Raw genomic sequence first — 26,024 nt, forward strand, 5'->3', positions numbered from 1 at the left:
AGTTGTAAGGAAGAGAGAATATATTTACTAATCAGAATATAGAATGGATCATCATAAAGGTCCTCATTCTCTTTGCCTTCATGTTGAGGAGTCTGAGGAGGAAGAGGAGGCGTTGGTCTTGTTGTTTCAAGGTGGTGGAGATGGAAGGGCTGGAGCAGGTGGAGGGGGAGTCGGGAGAAGCAGGCCCAATTGGTATAACTTGTTTTTTTTTTTTTTTTTTTTGAGATGGGAGTTTTACCCTGTCACCCAGGCTGGAGTGCGGTGGCGGATCTCGACTCACTGCAACCTTCGCCTCCCAGGTTCAAGTGATTCTCCTGCCTCAGCCTCCTGAGTAGCTGGGACTACAGGCACCCACTACTACACCCAGCTAATTTTTATAGTAGAGATGGGTTTCACCGTGTTGGCCAGGTTGGTCTCAGAATTCCTGACCTCAGATGATCTGTCCGCTTCGGCCTCCCAAAGTGCTGGGATGACGGGTGGGAGCCACCATACCCAGCCCCACTCAATGTCACTTTTATTATGGAAAAAAAAAAATCTGCGTGTAAGTGGCCCCACACAGTTCAAACCTGTGTTGTTCAAGAGTCAGCTATATGTATAATTGTACCTGTGGCACATAGAACACAAAAAGATCCACATTTTTAAAAACAGCATTGGGCAGAACAATTTTTTGACAGAGGTCTGTTTGACTCTGCTGACAGCCTGAGTGGGAGGAAACTTCCCCATATGAACGAACGGGGAAAGTGCATGTTGTAGTTCTCAAAACCCAAAAAAATCTAAGAGAAACCCAGCAGCAAGAAACACAGAGGTTTGGGTGTCAGCATCGGAGGAATGTCTCACGTCTGCCTTGTCCCCCAGACCCCGTCCCTGTGTCTGGGCAAAGGCACGCCCCGCTCCAGGTCGGCCCCATTTCAGAGCAGTGGCCCTCATAGGCTTTGTGCCTCTTCATTTAGTCTAAGAAACTACCTAGGATATTTTTGTAGAGGTGACATCACTGTCTGGCTGCAGAAGCATTTGCTTGGATTTGGGGAAGTGAGGGCTGGGAGAGGAGGGCTTAGAGAGGCAGGATGCCCAGGCCCATTGCGGGTGGCTGATGGGGGGTGGGCTTAGCATCTGCAGGGACAGGGTGGAGGGAGAGGAGCCACCCCAGGCAGGGGGAAGGGGTGTGCCCCCTTTGGGATATGGAGGTTTTGGGGGGCTGGTGGGAGGGAATTCCAGGGGTCGAGCCCCTGGGGAAAAGGAGGCTTTAAGGTCAGTGGAAAAGTGGGTGCCAAAGTCTGGAAGATGAGTTGAAACCTGGAGTTTGAAGCCCGGGGAGGATTTTGTTGGAGTGTTGGCTGGTGCTGGAGAGTTTTGCATCACTTGGGGTGGGGTGGGGTGAAGAATTAACTTGAACTGGCACAGCACCCCTTTGTCTTGACTTTCCCTGTTCTGGAGTGAGGACGGCTTGATGTTTCAGCAAAAGGAGTAGTGGAGAGGGAGAATATTTGCTTGTAGGATTGGGTTCCACATACCATATCTACAGTTTTACATCCACTGGTGACAAGACAGGAGCTTTTCTATTTTTGTTTTGTATTTTTATGTTTTTGTGCACTAACAGTAATGGTTTCATGGGAACAGATGGCGGACGGACACGGGCTTAGGCTCTTGGTTTATTTCATGTTACTTGCATGACAGCCCTATGGAGCTGCGTACCTGCCATAGGTGAGAAGCCGGGAGTTGGGGTTACATCCCGGACTTTGCTGAGCTCCAGGAGTGTTTTTCCTCCCGACCTGCGCTGTTCCCTAGACAACCCTCAGCCGAAGCAGTGGGGTCATCGGGTGACTCAGAAGGGACCTCTTCTCAGGGGCCGCCCAAGATGAGCTTGGCTGGGTCTGGGTCACTTAGCAGTGAGCAGCAGGGGATGGAAATGGGGCCGGGGTGGGTGGGCTTGAGGGGAGCACTTTCTCAGGGACGCCTGGCTGGAGCCTTGCCCTGGCAAGACTTCAAACTCAGCCCCGCAGAGAAGGGTCATCTGATGATAGAATCACGGCTGCCCCATCATTCCCATTAGCAAACTTCATCTGATAGTTGGGGTACGGTTGTGGCTCAGGCTGTAAGGAGCCCCCCTGTTGCATTACTCACTATCCTCAGATGCCCCATCCTTGCCTGAAGCAAGTTTGTTGGGACAGTTTTGGGGAACTGTTAGGAGAGAGGCCTGGTCATGGGGCCGGAGGGGCCCAGAGGAGCGGCCTGCCCTATCTGTGGGCGGTTCGGTGAGTGCTAGATGGGGTGTCTCTTTACAAGACTTTCCTCTGAGATGCTGGGGCTATGCCCCTGGGTGCTGGGGAGTGAATTGCCCGTAGATACTGATACCTGTACTTAACCCTGTGACGGTCAAGACCAGATCCCCACTCTCCAAGCCCCTGGGAAACTGGTTGATGTAGCCCCTGCAGTGATACCGCACTCAAATCCATGCAGATCCCCTGACATGGTCGGGGCAGCACCCACCACGCAGGCTTCTGTTCTGAGCTACATGGGATGTTGGGCGTGTGTTTTCTAAGAGACTGATTTCATAAGACATGTACCAGTGGCCGACTGGCCTGAAACAGCCTGGTCACAGCGACATCCCTGAGATCTTAGCTTCTTTTCCTCGGGGAATTATCATTGGACTGGAAAACTGAGGTTTTGGGCCACTCTGGATTCAGATGCTTTTGTTGTTGTTGTTTTGAGACAGGGTCTTGATCTGTTGTGGACTGCAGTGGTGGGATCATAGCTCTCTGCAACCGCGAACTCCCAGGCTCAAGTGATCCTCCTGCCTCAGCCTCCTTTGTAGCTGGGACCACAGGTGTGCCCCACCATGCCTGGCTAATTTTTTTTACATATTTTTATACAAACAGGGTCTTAGTATGTTGGCCAGGCTGGTCTCAAACTCCTAGGCTCAAGTGATCCTCCTGCCTCAGCCTCCCAAAGTGCCGGGATTATATAAGCGTGAGCCACCACGCCTGGCCCAGATAACTCTTGCCTGCCTGATTTTTTTATAATGATGCACTTTGTTTTGTTAAAAATTTATAAATTTAAAGACAAAATATGCAAAAATGTGCCCTGGTCTCAGAAATAACACAGCACATTCGAGTGAAGTTGTTGGCAGTTCCGTGTGTTTTGGGGTGATTCATTTTTTTCATAGGTTGTTGGGGCCGTGCATCCATTCGTGTTCTGAGCACACTCCATGGTACCTGATGACTCGAATGGATCCTGTTCAAGCCCCTGGGTTACCCAAAGAAATATACTTCTGGCCTGCTGGTTGGTCAGAGAATGCAGGACACATTGGGGTATCGCGAGGTGTCCAATGGCAGCGGGTTGGGTGTGTCTGCTGTGTGAACAGGGCAGGGGTTTGGGAAGATGGACTCTGGCTGTCTTGCTCCAAAGACTTCCTTAGGCTGTTGTTGAGCATTTATTGAGTGTCTCCTGTGTGCCGGGCAGCATTCTAGCATAGGGATTGAGTGACCAGACAGTAGGGAATCCTTGCCCTTAAGGAACTGACATTCTTTTTTTTTTTTCGAGATGGAGTCTTGCTTTGTCGTCCAGGCTAAAGTGCAGTGGTGCAATCTCGGCTCACTGCAACCTCTGCTTCCTGGGTTCAAGTGATTCTCCTGTCTCAGCCTCCTGAATGGTTGGGATTACAGGTGTGCACCACCACGCCGGGCTAATTTTCTGTATTTTTAGTAGAGGCGGGGTTTTGCCATGTTGGCCTGGCTGGTCTCGAACTCCTGACCTCAGGTGATCCACCCACGTCAGCCTCCCAAAGTGCTGGGATTACAGCCGTGAGCCACCATGCCTGGCCGGAACTGACATTCTTGCAAGGGGGATGGAAGACAAAGGCAAGGAATAAGTGAGTGCCCAGTGGCCTGGGAACAGACGGAGCAGGACTGATACACAAAGCCCCACAGAGTCACTTCTGTCTTCTGAAGGCCCTGAGAAATAACTTTATTATTATTATTATTATTATTTAGAGACAGAGTCTCGCTCTGTCGCCCAGGCTCCAGTACAGTGGTGTGATTATAGCTCACTGCAGCTTTGACCTCCCGGGCTCAAGCTATCCTCCCACCTCAGGTTCCCGAGTAGCTGGAATTACAGGCATGCGCCACCATGCCAGGCTAACTTTTTTGTATTTTTTGTAGAGATGGGGGGGTCTCACTGTGTTGCCCAGGCTGGTCTTGAACTCCTGGCCTCAGGCGATCCTCCTGCCTTAGCCTCCGAAAGTGCTGGGATTCCAGGCCTGAGCTGCCATGCCTAGCCCCGATTTTTAAACTGAAGAGGGATGGTTCAGTTGTTGGGGTGTGTCTTAGAGGATCCTTCTGGAAGCCCCACATGGAAGGCGGGCTAGAGTGAGGAGGGAGGGGTGATAATGGAACCAGGAGGGTGTGGTGGTCATGGCCCAGTGAGAGGATGCCAGGCTGTGGCCGTGCCAGACTCAGTGTGCCTGGCCCTGGCATTTCAGGCAGGGACCACTGAGGGGTGATGGGAGAGATGGGGCTGGGTGAGTGGCATTTCCACAGGCATCCAGAGGGGTGCGAAAAACTGAGGTTGGGGAACAGCAGGGGCAGGGAACAGCCTGTGGAGGGTGTGGTCATCAGTGTCCCCCACCGACATGGCACATCCAGCGAGCCCACTGTGTCCCCAGCACCTGCGGTGCAGGGGGCTGGCACCTTCAGGGGCGGGCTTCGTGCAGACGTCCACCCAGTCAGTCCCCACAGGTTTATCAAACACAAGTGGGGCGACAGGACCCACACTTCGGCGTTGGACGTGACTCACGCGGGGAGTTGGCTTGGAGTTCCTTTATTCATCCCTATTTGCTTTCTGTCTGTAATCCTTTGTAATTCCCTGGTTTCATGATGTAATTCTAATGGAAATAAACCCGAACCTTTCAAAATTATGTAATTAATTGCATTCAGCTTCAATGACAATGACTAATTATAGTGATACCTGGTGGCAAGGCAGGTACCTACTGCTGGGGGGCTCCTGTCTGCTTGGTACTAGGACTGCCACTTCTGGGCGCGTCGGAGCGGCTGCACAGGGGGTCAGCTGGCTGTCCTGTGGCCTGCTCCGGTGCCTCTGGTCCCCATCTTACCAGGAGCAGCGCCATGGCCATGCAGGGAGGGGCCGGAGAGGGAGGTGGTGTGCAGGGAGGAGCTGCTTAGGGGTGGGAGGGCTTGGACTTGTCTGCAGGTTAAAGAGAAGTCTTGCTGGGAAAGTAACTTCGGGGCTGGTTCCCTGAGAGCATTCTTCTCTGATTCATGTATTTTCCTGAGAAAAAGGGAGGAGGGTGCGTTCGACTGAACGTGAAGCGTTCAAGGATCGGAAAGGCAAGCCAGGTACAGTGGCTTACACCTGTAATACCAACACTTTGGGAGGCTGAGGCAGGAGGATCACTTGAGAGCCCAGGAGTTCAAGACCAGCCTGGGCAGCACAGTGAGACCCCATCTCTACAGAAAAAAAAAAAGAAAAGAAAAGAAATTAGCCCAGCATGGTGGCTCACACCTGTGATACCAATACTTTAGGAGGTCAAGGCGGAAGGATTGCTTGAGCCCAGTTGTTCAAGACCAGCATGGGCAACAGTGAGACCCTGTCTCTACAGAAAAAAAAAAAAGAAAGAAATTAGCTGAGCGTGATGGTGCACACCTGTGATCCTGGCTGCTCAGGAGGCTGAGGCAGGAGGATCGCTTGAGCCCAGGAGTTGGAAGCTGCAGTGACGTATGACAGTGCCATTCCACTCCAGCCTGGGTGACAGAGCAAGAGGAAGACTCTGTCTCTTAAAAAAAAAAAAAAAAAAAAAAAAGAATCCAAAAGCAAGCTTATGGAGAAGGGAGAAAGTGCGACAGTCACCTCGGGGCGTGGGAGAGCAGAAGATGGATGTCAGGTTAAAAACCATTACTGTGCTGTAGTATTTCCAGGAGGCCAAGTCCAGGGCTCTGGGACCTGTACACTGCGGCATCAGACCCTAAAACAGAGCTCTCAGGTTTTCGCCTTCCCAGGAAGTCTGCATCCTTTTTGCAGACTGGTTTTATTCTGTGTTAGGAGGAGGCGATTTTGCTAAGAAATCTTCACTGCAATTTTCCCCCCCAAATCAGGGCACTTGGCATCTCCTTCTAACGGGGGGTGCAGAGTCTGTCCTAGAATGGGACGCACAGTGTTCACACGAGTACCGAGTAGGTGGGGTGCTGGGCCGGCCCCTCTGATCCTGTCCTACCCTGTGCAGCCACGTGCCTTTCCTTATCCCCAGACTTCTGTTGTCACGATTCTTCCAGGGAAGAATCTGGAAGTGGAATCCACAGGGCGGTGCCCAGGGATGGCCTTTAGTGCCTAGTGTTCTGTTTCAGAGAGAGGCCTCTTATTTATTTGAAAAGCTGATTGTTTCTTTTTTTTTTTTTTTTTTTTTTTTTTGAGATGGAGTCTCCCTCTGTTGCCCAGGCTGGAGTGCAGTGGCACTATCTCAGCCCACTGCAACCTCCGCCTCCTGGGTTCAAGCGATTCTCCCGCCTCAGCCTCCCGAGTAGCTGGGACTACAGACACCCGCCACCACGCCCAGCTAATTTTTGTATTTTTAGTAGAGATGGGGTTTCGCCATGTTGCCCAGGCTGGTCTGGAACTCCTGACCTCAGGTGATCTACCTGCCTTGGCCTCCCAAATGCTGGGATTACAGGCATGAGCCACCACGCCCAGCCTTATTTTCTATTTTTAAAGAAAGAGCAAGACTGAAAACATTTGCATGCACAGTGAGTTTTAAAAAGTTCCTTTTTTTAGAGAGGACCAAGAAGGTGCAGAGTACTCTTGAAAAGAAATTTTTTTTCTGTTCTAAACGTGCCGCTTGTTGCCCTGGTGCAGAGAGCAGTTCTTTTGATACAATACCTCCGTCCCGTAACTTTTTTTTAAAGCTAAAATTCATATAATGTAACATTTACCTTTCCAAAGTTTAAAATTCTGGCCAGGCCTGTAATCCCAGCACTTTGGGATGCTGAAGCGGGCAGACCACTTGAAGCCAGAAGTTTGAGATCAGCCTGGCCAACATGGCAAAACCCTGTCCCTACTAAAAATACAAAAATTAGCCAGGTGTGGTGAGCGCTTGTAATCCCAGCTACTCAGGAGGCTGAGGCAGGAGAATCTCTTGAACCCGGGAGGCAGAGGTTGCGGTGAGCCAAGATCTCGCCACTGCACTCCAGCCTGGGTGACAGAGCGAGACTCTGTGTCATAAATAAATAAATAAATAAATAAATAAATAAATAAAGTTTAAAATCCATAGGTGTTTGGTATACTCACAATGTCGTGCAGCCATCACCACGATCTAGTTCCAAAACGTTTCCAACACCCCGACAAGAAACTCCCATACCTGTCAGCAGTTACCATTTGTCCTCCCTCCTGTACCCCCGGCACCCCGTAACCATTCATCTATTCTCTGCATCTATTCTCTGCCTCCATGCGTCTCGGGAATCATGGATTACGTGACCTTCGTGCTGTGGCTTCTCTCACGTAGCACAGTGTTTGCGGGGCTCACCCACATTGACTCATGCACCTGTCTGGGCCGCATTCTTTTTTATGGCTGAATAATATTCCCTGGTATGGGCATACCAGGTTTTGTGTATCCTTTCATCAGCTAGTAAACATTCGAGCTGTTTCCACTTTTTTGGCCATTGTGAATAACGCTGCTGTGAACATTCGTGTACAAATGTTTGTATGAATGCAGTTTTCCATTTTCTTAGGTGCAATTGCCAGGTCATATGTAGTCACTCTGGGCTTTGCTTTTTGAGTCTGTTGTATTTTATTTATTTATTTTTTTATTTTTGTGGGTGCGTATATTTATGGGGTACATGAGATGTTTTGATACAGGCATGCAATTCATAATAATCACATTGTGGAGAATGGGGTATCCATCCATCACAGATTTATTCTTTGTGTTGCCAACAGTCCAATTATACACTTTTAGTTATTTTATTTGTTTGTTTATTTTGAGTTGGAGTTTCACTGTTGTTGCCCAGGCTGGAGTGCAATGGCGCGATCTTGGCTCACTGCAATCTCCATCTCCCGGGTTCAAGCGATTCTCCTGCCTCAGCCTCCTGAGTAGCTGGGACTACAGCTGCCATGCCTGGCTAATTTTTGTATTTTTAGTAGAGACGAGGTTTCACCATGTTGGCCAAGCTGGTCTCGAATTCCTGACCTCAGGTGACCCACCCACCTGGCCTCCCAAAGTGCTGGGATTACAGGCGCGAGCCACCGCGCCCAGTTGCTTTTAGTTACTTTAAAATGTACGATTAAATTATGATCGACTATAGTCACCCTGTTGTGCTGTCAAATACTAGGCCTTATTCATTGATTCTATTTTTTTGTAGCCATTAGCCGTCGCTACCTCCCTGCATTGTTGCATTTTGGCCTCTTATGTGTAAGTCCCGTTTGTTCTCCAGAATGCTGCTTTTAACACCCAGCCCGTTCCATCTCTCTCTCTTCTGCCTTGGGTGTCATGCTGTCTCTTCCTCAGATTTCTCCTGGGGTGCAGGTGCTCCCCTGCGAACCACTGCTGTGCACAAAGTGATTTTGTGCTCAGGCAGGTGGATCGCTTGAGCCCAGGAGTTTGAAACCACCCTGGGCAATACAGTGAGACCCCATCTCTACAAAAAAAATGGCTGTTGTGCAGTTTGGGATGAGAGTTGGTTGCCCCCGCGGTCCTCCCTTCCCCCAACCCCACCTGCCCTCCTTGCTCAGCAACAAGGGACCCCCTTCACTGGACTATGAAGCCTGAGGGTTGTCTAAATCAATCCTTGGCCAGGCGCAGTGGCTCATGCCTGTAATCCCAACACTTTGGGAGGCCAAGGCGGGTGCATCACCTGAGGTCAGGAGTTCGAGACCAGCCTGGCCAAGGCTCTGAGAGCAGCGAGACTCCTTCTCAAAAAAAAAAAAAAAAAAAAAAGAATCCTGGCTGTTCCTTCCCCACGGCCAGTGGGCATTACACTTTGTTTTGGCTGGAGAAACCGGGAGTGCCCGTTGTCTGCCTGGAGACATGCCTGTGGGAGAAGAGGCTGCCCCCACCTGCTACCATCATCCCAGCATGGGTGCGGTGGGGGGCAGGGGAGACAGAGTAAAAATCGCAGAGGACATGGGGCAGAAAGATGGAAGGAACCTGGGCCCTCGATGGCTCTGAGTGAGTCAGTCCTGCAGTGCCCCGTCCCCATTTTTCTGTGGCCTGGGAAAGTCAAATTTCCTCATCCTTTGTAGTTGGCCATTGTGTTATTTGGAGATGGAAGAGCATTCTGAAACAAGCCACTATAATGAAAATCCAGGTCGTAGCAACTTGCCGTGCACGGCTTTGGCTTGGCATGGACTTACAGTGACATCTTTGAGATGCACTTGTCCGGGGTGCAGGTATATTTGAGAGTGTGAGGAGGACATATGTCCTCTAAGCTCTGTTTTCTAAAGGCAGCAGAATTCCATTTGCCAAGCCAGATGTCCCTCAATACGTTAGATCCCACCAATAAAACATTAAGCAATTACAATGGTTAATATTCACTAAAGTATAATTAGAAGCTGGCGTAAATTGTGAATGAAATTGGCGGGTTCCATACGTTACAGTGAAATACCAAATCTTTTTTTAGTTGTGTATGTGTATCTCAGTGAGTCTGTCAACTCAGATGAGTGAATCTTACCTCCTCTGTGGATAGAAACGAGCTCAATTTCAACTCAGTTCACTATAATTTTAAATGTTTAAGAACATCTTGCCAGTTGTTCTATCATGTTAAAGTTACTGAAATCTGGCTGGGTGGAGTGGCTCATGCCTGTAATCCCAGGACTTTGGGAGGCTGAGGCGGGTGGATTGCTTGAGCCCAGGAGTTCAAGACCAGCCTGGGCAACATAGTGAGACCCTCTCTACAAAAAAAATCCAAAAGTAGCTGGGCATCATGGTGACGCACACCTGTGTTCCCAGCTACTCAGGAGGCTGAGGTGGGAGGATCACTTGAAGCCGGGAGGTCGAAGGTGCAGGGAGCCATGATCGTGACACTGCATTCCAGCCTGGGTGACAGAACGAGACCCTGTCAAAAAAAAAAAAAAAAAAAAAAAAAAAAAAGGATACCAAAATTCTCAAGTCAAATTATAAGGGTTTTAACATTCCCATTTCTACACCACGTGCAAGAAAAACAAAATCCTTGTTTTCTGCCTGCCTTTATGGTCCGTTCTCATTTTCAGCCCCCTTTCCTCATTCTACTCTATTAATTATGCCTTTATATGGATGCAAACTTGTAAAATATGTGGCCTATTTTGTGTGTATACGTGGTTTTAATTCATAAGTGTGGCACTGTGCCCTAAATCTTTTTCTCCTTCCTTTTCACTCGTCACATTTTTTTTTTTTTTTAAATGACACAGAGTCTCGCTCTGTCGCCCAGGCTGGAGTGCAGTGGCACAATCTCGGCTCACTGCAACCTACGCCTCCTGGATTTAAGTGATTCTCTTGCCCCAGCCTCCTGAGTAGCTGGGACTACAGGCGCCTGCCACCATGCCCGGCTAATTTTTATATGTTTAGTAGAGACGGGCTTTCACCATGTTGGCTAGGCTGGTCTTGAACTCCTGATCTCAGGTGATCAACCCACCTCAGCCTCCCAAAGTGCTGGGATTACAGGCGTGAGCCACCTCACCTGGGCTCACTCACCACAATTTTTGAGATCTTGTTGTCTATGTCATTCCCTGTGAATTTTGTTTGTTATGACAGCCGTATTGAAATCCATCTTCAGGGCCAGGCGCGGTAGCTCACGCCTGTTATCCCAGCACCTTGGGAGGCCGAGGTGGGTGGATCACCTGAGATCAGGAGTTCAAGACCAGCCTGACCAACATGGTGAAACCCCCGTCTCTACTAAAATACAAAAAATTAGCAGGGCTTGGTGGCGCATGCCTGTAGTCCTAGTTACTTGGAAGGCTGAGACAGGAGAATCGCTTGAACCTGGGAGGTAGAGGTTGCAGTGAGCCGAGATTGTGCCATTGCACTCCAGCTTTGGCAACAAAAGTAAAACGCTGTCTCAAAAAAAAAAAATCCACCTTCAGAATTGACCTGTGTTAATCTGTCCAGACTGCCGTAACAGAATACCATAGATGGGGTGGCTTCACATATTTACACAACACATATTTATCTCTCATAGTTCTGGAGGCTGGAAAGTCCATGATCCGGGTACGGGCCAACGTGGTTCCTGGTGCGGGCCCTTTTCCTGGCTTGCAGATGGCCTCGTTTTTGCTGTGTTGCCACATAGCAGAGAGTGTGCGCAGGCAGGCAAGCCAGCTCTCTGGTATCTCTTGTTTTAAGTACACTAATCCCATCATGAGGGCTTTACCCTAGTGACCTCATCTCATCCTTACGACCTTCCAAAGGCCACACCTCCAAGTACCATCATATTGGAGGCTGGGGCTTCAATGTATGAATTTGAGGGGGGTGGACAACACAGTTCAGTCCGTAGCAGCACCCTAGCTCACACGTCCATTTCCCTGGGGCTGGTCACCCTCGGTGGTATCTGACCCCCCTCCCCCAAGCCCCTCCATGCACAGCACTGCTAGGAACGTTCTTACACACGTCCCTTACCAGTATCCAGGAAAAGCCTTGCTGGATCCAGCCAGATAGTGGTCCTTCTTTCACGAAGCACCTCCAGATCGCTTCCCAGCGTGGCTGCCCCACTTACTCCCCCACCCACAGTCGTGAGAGTTTCTTTCCCCCACAATCTCATCCGTGCTTTGTGGAGATATTTTTTGCCAGTGAGATGGTTTTAAAGTGGTACTTCAGTGTTGTGTCATTTTCTCTGATCACCAGGGAAGTCGATCTTTGCGATAAGCCTCATTTTATACTTGTCAGCTTTTCAGATTTCGCCTTTTGTAAATTGTCTGGTCATATATTTTGTCCTCTTTTTTTTTTTCTAAATGGTTTACCATCTTTTTGTTGATTTGCAAGAGCTCCTTGTATGTTTCACATGCGAATAATTTGTCAATTTTCTTTCTTTTTTTTGTTTTTTGAGACAGAGTTTGCTCTTGTTGCCCAGGCTGGAGTACAATGGCGCGGTCTTGGCTCACTTCAGCCTCTGCCACCTGGGTTCAAGCGATTCTCCTGGCTCAGCCTCCCCAGTAGCTGGGATTACAGGCATGCGCCACCACACCTGGCTAATTTTTGTATTTTTAGTACAGATGGGGTTTCACCATGTTGGTCAGGCTGATCTCAAACTCCTGACCTCAGGTGATCCGTCTGCCTCGGCCTCTCAAAGTGCTGGGATTAGAGGCGTAAGCCACCACGCTGGCCGTTATAGTTTTTTAAATTAAAAAAATTTAAAATTCTAATAGATTATTGTGGTATAGAGGAAACAATTGGTTTTTGTTGATTTCGAAGCTGGGAAGCTTGCTGTTAATATTTTTACTAATTAACTTGATTCTGTTGCATTTTCTCTGGAAATAATATATGCAAAATAATGCAAGTTTTTATTTGTTCCTTTCCTTCTGATTCTTACAGTGGAGTGACTTGCTGGCTAGAATCTGAAGTACTCAATTACATGGTGGTGGTGATAGAGGCTGCCCTTTTCTTTCTCTTTCTACCAAAGGAGATTTTTGGTAGAAGGTTTAACCAGGTGAAGGAACTACCTTAACTCCCCTTTCCATAGTTTTTAGAGAATTTTTTTTGGTATAAATAGGCGTTATCCTCTTGCAAATACTTTTCCTTAAAACCTATTCATGTCCATGCAGTTTTTATCCTTTAGTTTATGAATGTGGTAAATTACATTGATTGACTATATGATGTTGAATCATTTATTGCTTTCTGGGATAAACTCTTCTTCCTCTTGTATTTTAAAAATATTGTTGGATTTGATATACAGTTTTCAAATCTGTGTTATTAAGTGAAATTGGCCTATAATTTTCTTATTCAGTTGGAATTGAGGTTTACTAGTCTCATGAAATGGGTAAACATTGTGTTGGAACAATTTATATAACATGAGGATTATCTGTATCTTAAAATTTGATAGCTCACCTTTGAAACCATCAGGGCCTGAGACTTTAGAATGGTGGCTGGGAGGCATTTAACATTTCACTTTTTTTGTTTTTGGTCTATTGAGGTTTTCTATTCTTTATTTTATTTTATTATTATTATTATTTTTTTTTGAGACGGAGTCTTGCTCTATCGCCCAGGCTGGAGTGCAGTGGCGCGATCTCAGCTCACTGCAACCTCTGCCTCCCGGGTTCACACCATTTTCCTGCCTTAGCCTCTCGAGTAGCTGGGACTACAGGTGCCCGCCACCACGCCTGGCTAATTTTTTGTATTTTTAATAGAGACGGGGTTTCACCGTGTTAGGCAGGATGGTCTCGATCTCCTGACTTTGTGATCCGCCCGCCTCGGCCTCCCAAAGTGCTGGGATTACAGGCGTGAGCCACCACGCCCGGCAGGTTTTCTATTCTTATGCCAATTTTGGCATTTTATAATTTTCTAAAAATGTTTTCATTTTATCTTGGTTTTAAAACTTAACTGTTCTGTGATCATAGTATTTTTTTTTTGTAAATCTGTTTTGAACTCTAGCTGTCTCCCATTTCTACATTCTGTATTTCTGAATTTATTTACAACTCTTCTCTTTATTTTTAGTTGTACATAGAGGTTTGTTTATCTTACTGATCTTGAAAAAACAGCTTTTGGTCTTGTTAATCTTGCCTTTTTTTTATGTGGCTTATTTCTCACCATTATTTTACTTTCTGAGTGCATTTTTTTTCTAACTTATTTTTTTGAATACTCAGCTTTTTATTTCATTTTATTTATTTATTTATTTATTTATTTTTGAGACAGCCTCACTCTGTCACCCAGGCTGGAAGGCAGTGGTGTGATCTTGGCTCACTGCAGCCTCTGCCTCCCGGGTTCAAGTGATCCTCCCACCTCAGTCTCCTGAGTAGCTGGGAGTATAGGCGTCCCTGCCACCACGCCCAGCTGAGTTTTGTATTTTTAGTAGAGACAGGGTTTCACCTTGTTGGACAGGCTGGTCTTGAACTCCTGACCTTGCATGAGCCACCCACCTCAGCCTCCCAAAGTGCTGGGATTACAGGCATGAGCCACCACTCCTGGCCTTGAATACTCAGCTTTTTAAATTGGGGTTCTTTCTTGTTTTGGATAAATCTATTCAAAACTGTAACATTTCTGCTAAGTATTATTTTAGCTGTGTTCCACAAATTTTGACATGTAGTGCTTTCATTTTTATTCATTTTGTAATTTTCTATTCATTTTGTAATTTCCCTTATAATTTTCTCTTTAACCTAAGGGTTATTTAATACTGTATATTTTTTAGATTTTTGACACTTTTCTTTAATGGCTTTTAAAAATGTTGTTGCTGTCATTTTTATCACATATGGTCAGAGAACATAGTTCACATAATCCTGGTTCTTTGGAATCTATGAGGTCTTCTTTTTGGTGTCTTGCACATGGTGGATTTTTGTGAATTTTCCATATGTGCTCAAAAAGAATGTGTTTTTTGAGTAGAAAAAAACGTTATATATGCAGTATACAAGTGACATATACCATATAGTCATACAGTTTGTTTGGTATATGGAATACATTCATGTCACTGTTTCTTTGATAATTTTCTTCCCATAGTTTTTTTTCTTCTTTCTTTCTTTGAGACAGAGTCTCGCTGCATCACCCAGGCTGGCACGCAGTGGCGTGATCTCTGCTCACTGCAACCTCTGCCTCCCAGGATCAAGCAATTCTTGTGCCTCAGCCTCCCAAGAAGCGAGAATTACAGGAGCACATCACCATGCCCAGCTAATTTTCCTAGTTTTAGTAGACTGGGTTTCATTATGTTGCTCAGGCTGGTCTTTAACTCCCGGACTCAAGTGATCCTCTTGCCTCAGCCTCCCAAAGTGTTGGGATTACAGGTGTGAGCCACCATGCTGGGCCTTCCTACAGTTTTTGACAGTTGTTACATTATATTAGGTTAAGGCTGTACTGTTACATTGCATGTATGATCATGATCATGATCTTTAGATTTTCCTGATGTATTGGTTTTTTTTTTTTGATGTCTGTATAGACTCTTATTATGTTTTTCATGTTAAATTCTATTCGTTTTGACATTAAAATTATTCTATTTTTTTTTTTTTTTTTTGAGACAGAGTCTCTCTCTGTCGCCCAGGCTGGAGTGCAGTGGCGCGATCTCGGCTCACTCCACCTCCCGGGTTCACACCATTCTCCTGCCTCAGCCTCCTGAGTAGCTGGGACTACAGGCGCCCACCACCACACCCAGCTAATTTTTTGTATTTTTTAGTACAGACGGAGTTTCACCGTGTTAGCCAGGATGGTCTCGATCTCCTGACCTCATGATCCGCCCATCTCAGCCTCCCAAAGTGCTGGGATTACAGGCGTGAGCCACCGTGCCTGGCCTATTCTCCTATTTTTTTTGTTTGTTTTTGGTTTCCATTTGTTTGATGTTGCTTTTTCTCTTTAATTATTTCCAATCCATATCATTTTGCTTTCATTGCATTTGTTGCAGATCTGTGATGTAAGATCTTGTTTTTAAAACCCAGGTTGAGAATCTTTGATAAGTGAATTTAGCTGAGACACATTTCTGGTAGTTGTGTTATATTAGGATTTCTGCCATCTTATTTTGTGTTTTCTGCTTACCATTACTTATTTTTAAAAAAGCTTTTCTTGTAATGCTTTGTAGGGTTGAACTTTCTTCTGCTGGATTTTAAAGTTGTGCAATCTATTTTATTCTTCTAGAGCTCAGAATTGTGATTATTCTTAAAATTATTAAGAGCCACTTATGTGATTAGTTTTTCCTATCCATTTCTTTTTTTTTTCTTTTAGAATATAATTGATTTTTAAATTCACTTACTTGTTTCAACTGCCTGGAGTAGGGATTCCTGTCAGTTTCTAAAGGCTATTAATATCTTTGTCTTTCTGTCAAACAAGTTAAGTGATAGGGACCTCGTTTCCTCCCTTCAGCCTGTTGAGATCGTTTAGATTCTAGGATAATGGTGCCATATAGGACTGTGGCCCTCGGGTGTGCAGAATCAGCGTCACCAGGTATTAGACTTTCAGTATTAATGTTCTCTCCTTGCTAGAATATGTGAACAAATGTGAACCTTTTGAAAGAGCCAATCCTTCAGGATGGATCCAGAATGGCTAACCAGGCCTAAATCTAAAATAGAGCCAGACGGCCATTTGCAGATTGGAAGTCACACACTTAGTCTGAGTTCCCTGAAAACCTGCACCTTTCTTAAGTTTGGGACTTTCAGAGCTCACCTGACCCAACTAGTCTGAGTTCACCAGCCCTGGCCAATCAGGGCTCAGCTGTGTCAACCAATCAGCCCTAAGCACGTTTGAATCATTCATAAAGAAATCTGACTGGGAACCTGGGTGGGCACTGTTGCTATTAACAAACACCGTCCCCCTCCCCGCCCCCGCCCCCGCCCCCAACCCCAGCAGCTTCTGTTTACACGGAAGGCTGCATCTCCCTGGTTTGCACGTTGTCCACGGGAATAAAGTCTCTTTCCTCCAGATTCCTTTTCAGAGCACTTTTGTTAAGTATTTTAAATGATAGTGCATTTAAAGAAGTCTTTCTGTGATAAACTTCCTGAGACTTTAAAGTCTGAGTCTATACTTATTCCACCCTCATATTTAAGTGATACATTAGCTGGATGTAAAATTGTAGGTCAAAATTCTTTTTCTTCAACACCCAGATTATTCCCCTGTTTTCTTTTTGCACAGAGAGTCACGGTTGAGAAATATGAGGACAGTGTGATTCTTACTGCTTTGGAGGGAAGTCTGGTTTTTCTTTTTATCCCTGTCTTCATTCTTTTTTCTTTTTATCCTTGTCATCGTTCTTCTTTTTTCTTTTTGTTTTTCCGAGACAGTCTCTCTCTCTGTCGCCCAGGCTGGAGTGCAGCAGCACGATCTTGGCTCACTGCAACCTCCGCCTCCCGGGTTCAAGTGATTCTTGTGCCTCAGCCTTTTGAGTAGCTGGGATTACAGGCGCCTGCCCCCATGCCCGGCTAATTTTTGTATTTTTAGTAGAGACAGGGTTTCACCACGTTGGCCAGGCTGGTCTCGAACTCCTGACCTCAAGTTATCCACCCACTTTGGCCTCCCAAAGTGCTGGGATTACAGGCGTGAGCCACTGCGCCTGGCCTGTCTTTATTCTTTAATGTCACCAAAATGTATCTAAATAATGATTTCTTCCACCTACCTATCTTATTTGGCACTTTACTGACCCTTTGATTCTGATGTCTTATTTTTTTCTTTTATTCTAGGGAGTTCTCATACATTTATCTCTCCAAATATTTTCTCTCCTCTCTTTATTTTTTCTTCTTTCTAGGACACCCACTGTACAGGTGTCAACCCTTCTTCTGTTGTCCATCTCTCTCTCTCTCTCTTTTTGAAATGGAGATGGGGTCTCACTATGTTGCCCACTCTGGTCTCAAACTCCTGGGCTCAAGCAGTCCTCCTGCCTCAGCCTTCCATAATGCTGGAATTACATGTGCGAGCCCCCATGCCTGACCTGTTCTCTGTATCTCTTAACATTAGCCTCATTCTCAAACATGAAGAGAGTAGCCTTGGTGTAGACTGGCCACGAATTGGCGATTGTTGAGATGGGCGATTGGTAGTGAGGGTACCCATGAATTGGCGATTGTTGAGACAGGCGATGGGTGGTGAGGTACTGTTTGTATGTATTTGAAATACTGTCTGTGTATAGCTCCAGTTGAATTACCTCCTACTGAGACCCACTGGCCTTAGCCTGTGGTGTGGGGATGAAAGTGGGGAGGGAATAGAGGAGGAGGCTGGCTAGATAGGCTTGGGGCTGGCTGCCAGGACAGTTAACATGACTTACATGGCACATCGTACATTTCTATGGAACAGTGCTGTTCCGATTTAGCCCCTTGCTAGGCAAAGTGATTCATGAACCAGCAACAGTGGTATCACCTGGGAGCTCGTTAGAAATGCAGGATCTGGCCGAGCACAGAGGCTTATGCCTATAATCCCCGCACTTTGGGAGGCTGAGGCCGGAGGACCACTTGAGTTCAAGACCAGCCTGGCCAACGTGGTAAAACCCCATCTCTACTAAAAATACAAAATTAGCCAGATGCAGTGGCACATGCATGTAATCCCAGCTACTTGGGAGGCTGAGGCAGGGGAATCGCTTGACCCCAGGAGTCGGAGATTTCAGTGAGCCGAGATTGCACCACTGCACTCCAGCCTGGGTGACAAAGGGAGACTCCATCTAAAAAAAAAAAAGAAAAAATGCAGGCTCTCAGGCCCCACCCCAGGCCTCCTGAGACAGAATCTGCATTTTTATGAGATTGTCAGGTGAATCATATGCACATGAATGTTTGCACATTAAATGAGCACTGGTCTGGATCCTTTAAAAAGGAATGATTGGTTTTATTTAATTCATATTTTAATAGAGTGACTCCTCCCTTATCTTCCAAGTTGAGCTCTCCCAGCATAGATGGCCCAGCTGCCAGGGCTGATGCCCATAGTCTGTGCATAAACAGGGGAGTTCCCGAGCCCTTTTCCAAGCCGCTTTTAAATGCAACTCCTTTTTTTTTTTTTGAGATAGGCTGTTGCTCCATTGCCCAGGCAGGAGTGCAGTGGTGCAATCCTAGCTCACTGCAGCCTCGACCTCCTGGGATCAAGCGATCCTCCCACCACAGCCTCCCACCTAAGCCCCCTGAGTAGCTGGGACTACAGGTGTGTGCCACCACACCCAGCTGATTTTATTTTTTGTATTTTTTGTAAAGGCGATGTTGTTCAGGCTGGTCTTGAACTCTTTGGCCTCAGCGATTCTCCCACCTCAGCTTCCCAAAGTGCTAGGATTGCCAGCGGGAGCCACCCTACCCAGCCGAACTCCTTTCTTACACGTAGTTCTGACAGTATCGATCATCCACTCTTCAAGGTGCTAATACATTAAAACAGCAAATTGGAAGTAGGCCAAGGAGGTGCTAGTGGCAGCCCCACGGACAGTAGCAATTAAGACCAGTTGCTAGCTTGATAGTGGGAGACCAGAAAGACTAAAAATAATTGCAGGCTGTGTTGGTCTGGTATGGATGCTGACTTCCTGACATGTAGCTAGGTGGAGTGGCTCATGCTGTAATCCCAGCACTTTGGGAATCCAAAGTGAGACGATAACTTGAGGCCAGGAATTCAAGAGCAGCCTGGGCAACATAGCAAGACCCTGTCTCTACAAAAAAATTTAAAAAATTAAAAAAAATTAGCTGACATGGTGGCACGCACCTGTAAGTCTCAGCTACTGAGGAGGCCGAGATGGGAGGATCGCTGGAGCCCAGGAGTTCGCGGCTGCAGCAAGCTGTCATTCTACCACTGCACTCTAGGTTGGGCAACAGAGCAAGGTCCTATCCCTAAAGAAATGACAAAATAAACAGTCAACCACCTGGTGGAGAAGGTAGTATTTTCACCAACGCTGTAGCAAATGTCAAGGCCAAGACAAACACTTGTTTGGAAAATTTAGTTTTGGGGAAACTCCTCTCCTCTAGTGTGCTGGATTCATGATATATTGTTACCTGGAAATGGCAGCCCTCAGTGGATAAGAACCTGGGGTTTTGGAGATGACCCATGTTTGGCGGCACCTGATCCCTATCAGCAGCCATGCGTCCCACTGTCTAGGCAGTGGCCAAGGGTGCTCTGTCTTGGACGGCAGACAGCACATCTGATTTGGAATTTTTGTTCCAGCACTTCTTAGCTGTGTGACTTTGGGCACTGCTGAACCTGCTTCCTCCGTGAAACAGCCAGTGATAAAACTATTTACTGTGTAGAGGATTCTGTGAGACTCAACGTATGGCAGTGCCTGATGTACTATTCTAAATTTATTTTTATTTTTATTTTAGAGATGGGGTCTTGCTGTGTTGCCCAGGCTGGTCTTGAACCCCTGGCCTCAGGTGATCCTCTGGCCTCAGCCTCCCAAAGTGCTTTTTCATTTTCTCCTCAAAATGAGAAAGTAAAGTGTTATGGTGTTGGCAGCTCACCCATAGAAACTGCTTTAAAGGCCAGGCATGGTGGCTCATGCCTGTAATCCCAGCACTTTGGGAGGCCAAGGCAGGCAGATCACCTGAGATCAGGAGTTCAAGACCAGCCTGGCCAACGTGGTGAAACCCATCTCTACAAAAATAAGCTGGGCATGATGGCGGGTGCCTGTAATCCCAGCTACTCAGGAGGCTGAGGCGGGAGAATCACTTGAACCCGGGAGCCAGAGGTTGCAGTGAGCCAAGATCACGCCATTGCACTCCAGCCTGGGCAACAGAGCAAGACTCAAAAAAAAAAAAAAAAAAAAAAAAGAAAAGAAAAAATAAACTGCTTTATATTAAAAGAAAAATAATGGTCATAATCTGGCCTTAGGGGCTATAGCATCAATGGTGAGGCCTAGATCGCCCAGGTCACTGGGTGTGTATTGACGTTGTTTACATGTTTTATTTCTTTTATGCTTTTTCCCAGAGATTGATTTTTTTTTCTCCCTTATGTGATTCAAAATATCTGCTTACACGTTAAACCCAGCTCAGTTGGCATAATGTCTTTTTAAGGCACAAGCCAGCTTCCTGGGTGTGAGCAGCTTCCACATCAAATGTTCAGTGGGCAAATGAAACATGTGAGTCACACAACACTTGGCACCTCTGTGGCTTTTAATATTTGGTGGCAAACTTCCTACCGCGAGGAGAAAATTTTCAAAGTGGAAGTCCTTTCAGATCCAGATGGCAAAAGAATTTGTTGGGCGAGGGATCTTGATTCTTAATGTTGAGGGGACTAGGAATGTTTGAATTTTCTCCCCCTTGTATTTTCCCAGCCTGGTAGGCCTCCATGGGGGCCAAATTTAGTTGCGAATTTGCCCACTTTTGTGCAGAGTGAGGCTCCATCTATGGAATGTGCTTAACCATAAGGATCAGAAAAATTTCTAGTAGCTTTGTTAAGTGCACAGCAAACAGAAGACAAAGTGTGGCCGGGTGCGGTGGTTTATGCCTGTAGTGCAAGCACTTAGGGAGGCAGAGATGGGAGGATTGTTGAGCCCAGGATTTCAAGACCCAGCCTGGGCAACATAGCAAGACCCCCTTCTCCAGGAAACGGAAAAAAAAAAAGAGTTTGAAAAAAGTGTGTAGACTAACTGAACACTTGCAAGGCAATTTTTTTTTTTTTTGACTGTCTGGAGAGCTTGGGTTCCATGAACACAATACAGCTCTTGTTCCACGTGACTTACAAGTTGGGCCCCGGGTTTTGTTTTCTTGGCCGAGATCTTGAAGACTGTCTCCAAGTAGGTGTTTCTTCCTTGGCAGCAGGTTTGGCCAGTTATGTAGTCAGCCCTGTCCTTCTCTGAAGGGTGGGTAGTTGAGTTGGGGGTATGAGAGGGGTGACAGTGGATCATCTTAGCTTTTTTTCTATTTCACGTCATTGTTCATGGATACAAGTGCAGGTTTGTGACATAGGTAAACTTTTGTCATGGGGGTTTGTTGTACAGATTACGTCATCACCCAGGTATTAAGCCCAGTATCCATTAGTTTTTTTTTTTTTTTAGTTATTTCTCCTGATCCTCTCCCTCTTTCCACCCTTCACTCTCCAAAAGGCCCCAGTGTGTTTTTCCCCCCTCTCTGTGTCCATGTGTTCTCATTGTTTAGCTCCCACTTATAAGTGAGAACATGCAGTATTTGGTTTTCTATTCCTGAGTTAGTTTGCAAAGGATAATGGCCTCCAGCTCCATCCATGTCCCTGCAAAGGACGTGACCTCTTTCTTTTTTCTGGCTGCATAGTATTCTGTGGTGTGTATGCGCCATGTTTTCTTTATCCAGTCCATTATTGATGGGCATTTACATTGATTCTATGTCTTTGCTATTGTGAATAGTGCTGCAGTGAACATACATATGCATTTATCTTTATGATAGAATGATTGATATTCTTCTGGGCCTATACTCAGTCATGAGATTGCTGGATCGAATGGTATTTCTGTCTTCAGGTCTTTGAGGAATCATCACACTGTCTTCTATAATGGCTGAACTAATTTACACTCCCACCAACCGTGTATATAAGTGTTCCCTTTTCTCCACAACCTTGCCAGCATCTGTTACTTTTTGACTTTTTAATAATAGCTATTCTGACCGGTATGAGACAGTATCTCATTGTCTCATGCAATTTTTTTTTTTTTTTTTTTTTTTTTTGACAGGGTCTCACTCTGTCGCCCAGGCTGGAGTGCAGTGGCGCGATCTAGATCTTGGCTCACTGCAACCTCCGCTTCTGGGTTCAAGCTATTCTTCTGCCTCAGCATCCCTAGTAGCTGGGATTATAGGAATGTGCCACCATGCTTGTCTAATTTTTGTATTTTTAGTAGAGATGGGGTTTCACCATCTTGGCCAGGCTGGTCTCAAACTCCTGACCTCAGGTGATCCGCCTGCCTTGGCCTCCCAAAGTGCTGGGATTACAAGTGTGAGCCACCATGCCTGGTTTATTTCATTTTAAAATGCAATTTTTCTGAAGGTAGTCATTGTTTTTGCATGTTTTCTTTTCTTCAAAACATTTTTCATTTGTTAATCAACATTTTATAAGGCTTAATATTAAAAAAGAACCAACCCCACCCCACTTCTCCCCACTCTCATTTCCTACACCCAAGAGCAGCCCTGGTTTTCTTTTTCTTTCTTTCTTTCTTTTTTTTTTTTTTTTTTTTGAGACAGGGTCTCTCTTTGTTGTCCAGGCTGGAATTGCCGTGGTGCGATCATGGCTCGCTGCAGCCTTGACCAGGTATAGGAAATGAGAGCACTGTGCCCGGCTAATTGTTGTATTTTTTGTAGAGATGGCATCTCACCATGTTACCCAGGTGGTCTCGAACTCCTGGGCTCAAGCAATCCTCCCGCCTCCGCCTCCCAAAAAGCTGGGATTACAGGCATGAGCCATTGTGCCCAGCCAGCCCCTGGTTTTCTAAGTAGCAGGCTTATACCACTTGTCTTTGATATTTCAGTGTTAGGTGTTGACTTACTGATGTGTTTTATGAGACATGGATGAGGATTCTGGCCTCAGAAAAGGCTGCCTACGCCTCTCTCTTTCTCAGAATAGTCACATTTCACCTGTAATTCCAGTGCTTTGGAAGGCCGAGACAAAAGGATCACCGGAGGCCAGGAGCTCTTGACTAGCCTCGGCAACATTGCAAAACTCTGTCTCTACCAAAATAATTAAAAATAAAAAAATTATCCAGGTGTGGTGGTGTGCACCTGTAAGTCCCAGCTACATGGGTAGCTGGGGTGGGAGGATTGCTTAAGCTGGGGAGGTCAAGGATGCAGTGAGCTATGACCACACCCCTGTACTCCAGCCTGGGTGACAGAGCGAGAGTCTGTCTCTTAGAAAATAACAAATAAATACATTTTTAAAAGCATAGTCATACTTCTCTTTTTGGCTCAATCAATTTTCAAATATACAGTGTTTCCATAGCTATGACTTTGTAAATATTAGTATTCTTTGTACACTACTTAATGTATGCCTAAACTCTCCTCCAGCAACATAGATCTCTTAAAATATGGAAGGCCATCAGTGAGGTAGGGTTTCATCTTTCTTGGTGACAGCCCTTCTTGGCCCCCCTATTCTGCCCAGCTGGGTCTCCCATTCCTCATCATCTCGGGGGCTTCCTCCCATCTCTCTCCAGCTTTGGATCTCCTGACTCGTGTACGCCATGGCTTTGTTCTTCCTGGTTAACCTCTCATTTGCTGCGGGGATGTTCTCCGATTGCTTCCTGATAGATGGTGACCATATCTGCGATCCGACAAGATCTTCTTTATTCTGTCCTCAAATCCCAGGTTGGAAAACACTTCCTGCAGAATGGGAAAGATTTGGCTCCCCGTTTTCTAGCATCCGTCAAGGGCGTTCTGCATTTTTGTCCTTTGTTCTAACACCTTGTAGAGTTGTCTTTTTCTTCTTCTTCTCAGATTTCATGAACACGCACCTTGGCGTGGTTCTTATGGCCTGGTCTCTGTTTTCTGTCTTCCAGAGTTGCGTTAGTCAGATGTTGCACTTTGTGGCCTGATCTGCTAATTTTTCTTACTTTTCATTTGTCTTTCTTCTCTCTTTTTTTTTTTTCTTTTGAGACAGCGTCTCACTCTGTCACCCAGGCCAGAGTGTGGTGGCACCATCATGGCTCTCTGCAACCTCCACTGCTTGGGCTCAAGGGATCCTCCTGCCTCAGCCTCCCCAGTAGCTAGGACTACAGGTGCACACCACCACGCCTGGCTAATTTTTTAAGTATTTTATAGAGATAGGGTCTCACTATGTTGCCCGGACTGGCCTTGAACTCCTGGTCTCAAGCAGTCCTCCCACCTTGGCCTCCCAAAGTGCTGTGATTACAGGCGTGAGCCACCGCACCCAGCCTTACCTTTCACTTTCATGCCTCTGTCTTTTTTGATGTGTTTTCTGCAGGAATTTCTCAACCTTCCAGTCTTTCTAAACTTTTATGCATCTTATTTTAGATTTCCAAGTTTTCTTATTCTTTGAACATTTTTATGGTCTGTTCTTTCATGGAAGCATCATCTTTTATATTCCTGGCTACATTCATCACAGTTTTTTAAAAAGTTTTTGGCCAGGCAAGGTGGCTCATGCCTGTAATCCCAGCACTTTGGGAGGCCAAGGTGGGCTGATTGCTTGAGCCCAGGAGTTTGAGACCAACCTGGGCAACATGGCAAAACCCTGTCTCTACTAAAAAGACAACAATTAGCTGGGCATCGTGGCACACACCTGTAGTCCCAGCTACTTGGGTAGCCGAGGTGGGAGGATGGCTTGAACACTGAAGGTGGAGGTTGCAGTGAGCCGAGATCACACCACTGTACTCCAGCCTGGGCGACAGAGCAAGAACCTGTTGCAACAAATAAAAAAATTTTAAAAAAGTTTTCTTCTGTTCTCTGCGTTGGAATTTTTTTTTTTTTTTTTTTTTTTTTTGAGATGAGGTTTCACTCTTGTTGCCCATGCTGGAGTGCAATGGAGTGATCTTGGTTCACTGCAACCTCCACCTCCTGGGTTCAAGCATTTCTCCTGTCTCTGCCTCCCAAGTAGCTGGGATTATAGGCACATGCCACCATGCCTGGCTAGTTTTTTGTATTTTTAGTAGGGACAGGGTTTCATCATGTTGCCCAGGCTGGTCTTGAACTCCTGACCTCAGGTGATCCACCTGCCTCGTCCTCCCAAAGTGCTGGGATTACAGGCATGAGCCACTGTGCTTGGCCTCTGCATTGAATTCTTACTGTCTTTACTTTGTAAAATGTTTTTTAAAAATATATAAACAGTTGCATACCATGCATTTTGGTTGCAAAATATAATACAGTGAACACCCAGGAACCCTCCACCCAACCCTAAGAATCAGAGCTTTGCCAGTCAATTGCATCCACCTGTATATTCCTCCCACCTCCTATTCCCTGCCCCCTCTCTGGGACAGGTGACCCATCCTAAGTAGTGTATTTATTATGCTCTTGCCTAAAATAATGTATTTTCTGCACCCATGAATAGATGCTTAAGTAGTATATGATTACTCTTCCCTGAGTTTGAGCTCTATAAAAATGGTATTATTCTGCAATAGACTTGCAGGATTTGCCTTTTGAACTTGAGTTACTGCAACATTATCTGTGAGGTTGTCTGTTATAACTGTGGTCCATTTATTTTCTCTGATGCTTAAACCCAGTTGTGCGGCTAGACCCAAATTTCTTTAGCCTTTGTCCTGTCGCTTTGTCTGTTTTCCTCGTTTCCCTCTTTGTTTTGGTCCCAGTTAGAGGTTTCCTCAAATGCCTAGTGACGTGTTGTTGTTTGTTCATATATCAGAGCATGGCAATAGAAAGGGTGTGTGTGTGTGTGTGTGTGTGTGTGTGTGTGTGTGTCGGGGTAAAGAGCAGTTTTGGTGGCCCCCACCGTAAGTAATTAACCCAGGTGTCTAGTTGCGGGGAGCCCCCAGGCATGGGTATCAGTGGCTCATTCTCTTGGACTGGTCAGTTTCTCTAGCAAGGAGCCCTCAGTGTTCCTGCTGGGTGGTGCAGTTGGGAACTGTTAGTCT

General features: G+C 46.2%; 1 protein-coding gene across 25 annotated transcripts in view, besides 1 other annotated feature; it reads left to right on the forward strand.

Annotated features, from left to right (window-relative positions):
- The window catches only part of CUX1 (cut like homeobox 1), a 467,952-nt gene that overhangs the window by 11,765 nt on the left and 430,163 nt on the right, over nucleotides 1-26,024 (forward strand). The window lies entirely within an intron of this gene.
- Nucleotides 4,017-4,658: an enhancer, noted in NCBI's record as "H3K4me1 hESC enhancer chr7:101475068-101475709 (GRCh37/hg19 assembly coordinates)". NCBI's record gives its function as "activates a minimal SCP1, AML or CMV promoter by ChIP-STARR-seq in primed H9 embryonic stem cells {active_cell/tissue: H9 hESC(primed)}" and the evidence as "EXISTENCE:reporter gene assay evidence [ECO:0000049][PMID:30033119]".

Source organism: Homo sapiens, chromosome 7 (assembly GCF_000001405.40).
Source record: "Homo sapiens chromosome 7, GRCh38.p14 Primary Assembly".
NCBI lineage: Eukaryota > Metazoa > Chordata > Mammalia > Primates > Hominidae > Homo > Homo sapiens.